The sequence below is a fragment of the Homo sapiens genome, chromosome 8, assembly GCF_000001405.40.
Source record: "Homo sapiens chromosome 8, GRCh38.p14 Primary Assembly".
Taxonomy (NCBI): domain Eukaryota; kingdom Metazoa; phylum Chordata; class Mammalia; order Primates; family Hominidae; genus Homo; species Homo sapiens.
In genome coordinates, this window is record NC_000008.11 from 100,753,585 (window position 1) to 100,756,631 (window position 3,047).

Here is a 3,047-nt window from a genome sequence, read left to right on the forward strand (position 1 = left end):
AGAGAGACAGGGTCTCACTTTGTCACTCCAGTGGCACTGGAGTACAGTGGTGCAATCATAGCTCACTGAAACCTGAATTCTGGACTCAAGTGATCCCCCCACCTCAGCCTCCAGAGTAGCTGGAAGTACTACAGTTGTCAGTTGTGCACCACCACCACACCCACTAATTTCTTTTTTTTTTTTTTTTTTTTTTGAGACAGAGTTTCGCTCTTGTTGCCCAGGCTGGAGTACAATGGCGCAATCTCGGCTCAGTGCAACCACCTCTTCCCGGGTTCAAGCAATTCTCTTGCCTCAGCCTCCCGAATAGCTGAGATTACAGGCAGGCTCCACCACGCCCGGCTAATTTTTTTTATTTTTAGTAGAGACAGGGTTTCACCATGTTGGTCAGGCTGGTCTTGAACTCCTGACTTCAGGTAATCCACCCGCCTCGGCCTCCCAAAGTGCTAGGATTACAGGCATGAGCCACCGTGCCCGGCTTTTTTTTTTTTTCATAGAGACGTGGTCTCACTATGTTACCCAGGCTGGCCTTGAACTCCTGGCCTCAAGCGATCCGCCTCAGCCTCTCTAATTGCTGAATTACAGGTGGGAGCCACAGTGCCCAGCCCACTAACTGATTCATTTTCTGCCCTTCTCTGCCTCGTTTTGTGCCTGGAAGGCTGATGTCTATGTGGTGCACCACCCAGGCTCCCTTGCTGGAAGGCTTGGGTTAAGTCAATGGGAGGCACCAGTGGGTGATAAGAGGCTGGAAACAGACAAAGGTCAGAATATGTATTACTTCCACTCTCTCCCTATGGTTCTCCATTATGAATCATAGTGACTGTGTCCCTTTGTGGTCACAGCTTCCATGGGACAGACACTTTTCCAGGGCTCCAGTTTTTTACTTTTTTAATTATTATTTATTTATTTTGAGACAGCATCTTGCTCTGTTGCCCAGGCTGGAGTGCAGTGGCATGATCTCGGTTCACTGCAGCCTCCGCCTCCTGGGTTCAAGCAATTCTCTGCCTCAGACTCCCCAGTAGCTGGGATCACAGGTGTGTGCCACGACGCCCAGCTAATTTTTGTATTTTTAGTAGAGATGGGGTTTCATCATCTTGGCCAGGCTGGTCTTGAACTCCTGACCCCGTGATCCGCTCGCCTCAGCCTCCCAAAGTGCTGGGATTACATGCATGGGCTACCGCGCCTGGCCTATTTATTTATTTTGAGATGGAGTCTTGCACTGTCGCCCGGGCAAGAATGCAATGGTGCAATCTCAGCTCACTGCAACCTCCCCCTCCTGGGTTCAAGTGATTCTCCTGCCTCAGCCTCCCGAGTAGCTGGGATTACAGGCACCTGCCACAACACCCGGCTAATTTTTTGTATTTTTAGTAGAGACGGGGTTTCACTATGTTGGCCAGGCTAGTCTCGAACTCCTGACTTCGTGATCTGCCCACCTCAGCCTCCCAAAGTGCTGGGATTACAGGCTTGAGCCAATGCACCCGGCCTATTTTTATTTTTTATTTATTTATTTTTTTAAGGCTAGTCAAGCAAAGCAGTGGGAGTGGAGAAGGAACAAAGGAATCAGTAGCTGGTTGTGATAAATTAGTTGTAAACACCACTGCACTTGGTGTTTACACCAGGGCTCCAGTTTTTAAGCTCTGGTAATAGCAATTTTTGCCCCTGACTCTTGGCATTGGTGGTGATGTCTTCCACTGTTCTTGGTCCCTAGGTGCCTCGCTTGGTTATCTTGACTCTGCCCTCACTCAATGAGTCATCTTTTCATTAAAAATTTCTTTTTCTTTTTTTTTTTGGCCAGGCACAGTGGCACATGCCTGTAATCCCAGCACTTTGGGAGACCAAGGCAGGTGGATCACTTGAGGTCAGGAGTTCGAGACCAGCTTGGCCAACATGGTGAAACCCTGTCTCCACTAAAAATACAAAAATTAGCCAAGCGTGGTGGCACCTATGGTCCCAGCTATTTGGAAGGCTGAGGCAGAAGAATCACTGGAACCCAGGAGGCAGAGACTGCTGTGAGCTGAAATCACACCACTGCACCCCAGTCTGGGTGACAGAGTAAGACTCCATCTCAAAAAAAAAAAAAAAAAAAAGGAAAGAAAGAAAAAAAAAAATCACTGTTTTTTTTTTTTTTTTTGCAAGTTTTGTTTTTTAAGAGATAGAGTCTCATTATGTTGCTCAGGCTAGACTCTAACTCTTAGGCTCAGGGGATCCTCCTGCCTCAGCCTCCTGAGTAGCTGGGACTACAGGCACACACCACCACATGCGGCTCAAAATTATTTCTCTATTGTAGCTGTGTGGACCATCTGCCTCCCCCATGTCTGAGACTTACAGTACCCACATAAATCCAGAAAGCATACCTGGTATCAAGCTGCGTGAGAGGAATACTCATTGACTTGTTATAGTCTACATTTTGTGATATTTCTCTCTCTTTCGCCTCATCTGGATGTCTCTTTGAATGTTACACCCTTCAAACAGGCATGAGATGACAAGGCTGATATCTGCTGCTCATTTGGGGGAGGTCGATAAGCAAATGTCTTTTGTAAGCCCGGTGCCTCCTGGAGAGAGGTACTCTGTGCCTGCTTCATGATTGATTGATTGTTTGCCTATTGATTGAAAGACACATCCTTTTCATTGAAATCATTATAATTACTTTCTTATAATTGGCAAAGAGTGCCACAGTTGTTATCCTGAAGAGGATATGGTTTATTTTTAAACTATAGATGAATCTGAATTTTTAAAATCGCTAGCGTCTGAGCAAATGCCATGAGTAAACACACTTCAGCTGCATCCGTCTGAACTGCTGCTGGGTGGAAGGCTGACGGGTAAAAATACTTTATATTTGTAGCACTCGATACGTGTTTCTACGCTCTCTCTCCCAAATTATCGCATTTGCTCATTACAACAACTTGTCGAGACAAGCAGAGTTGATATTTTTATTTCCATTTTAAAGGCTTCATTCATCAAACATTTATTGATCCTCTTTTATATACCTGTCCCTCTGCTGGGCACTGGTGATACTGAGAAGATGATAACATAATTTCTGTCCTCAATAC

The 3,047-nt window shown here is 45.9% G+C and overlaps 1 annotated feature.

Moving 5' to 3' along the window:
* Window positions 2,343–2,844: an enhancer, noted in NCBI's record as "NANOG hESC enhancer chr8:101768155-101768656 (GRCh37/hg19 assembly coordinates)". NCBI's record gives its function as "activates a minimal SCP1, AML or CMV promoter by ChIP-STARR-seq in primed H9 embryonic stem cells {active_cell/tissue: H9 hESC(primed)}" and the evidence as "EXISTENCE:reporter gene assay evidence [ECO:0000049][PMID:30033119]".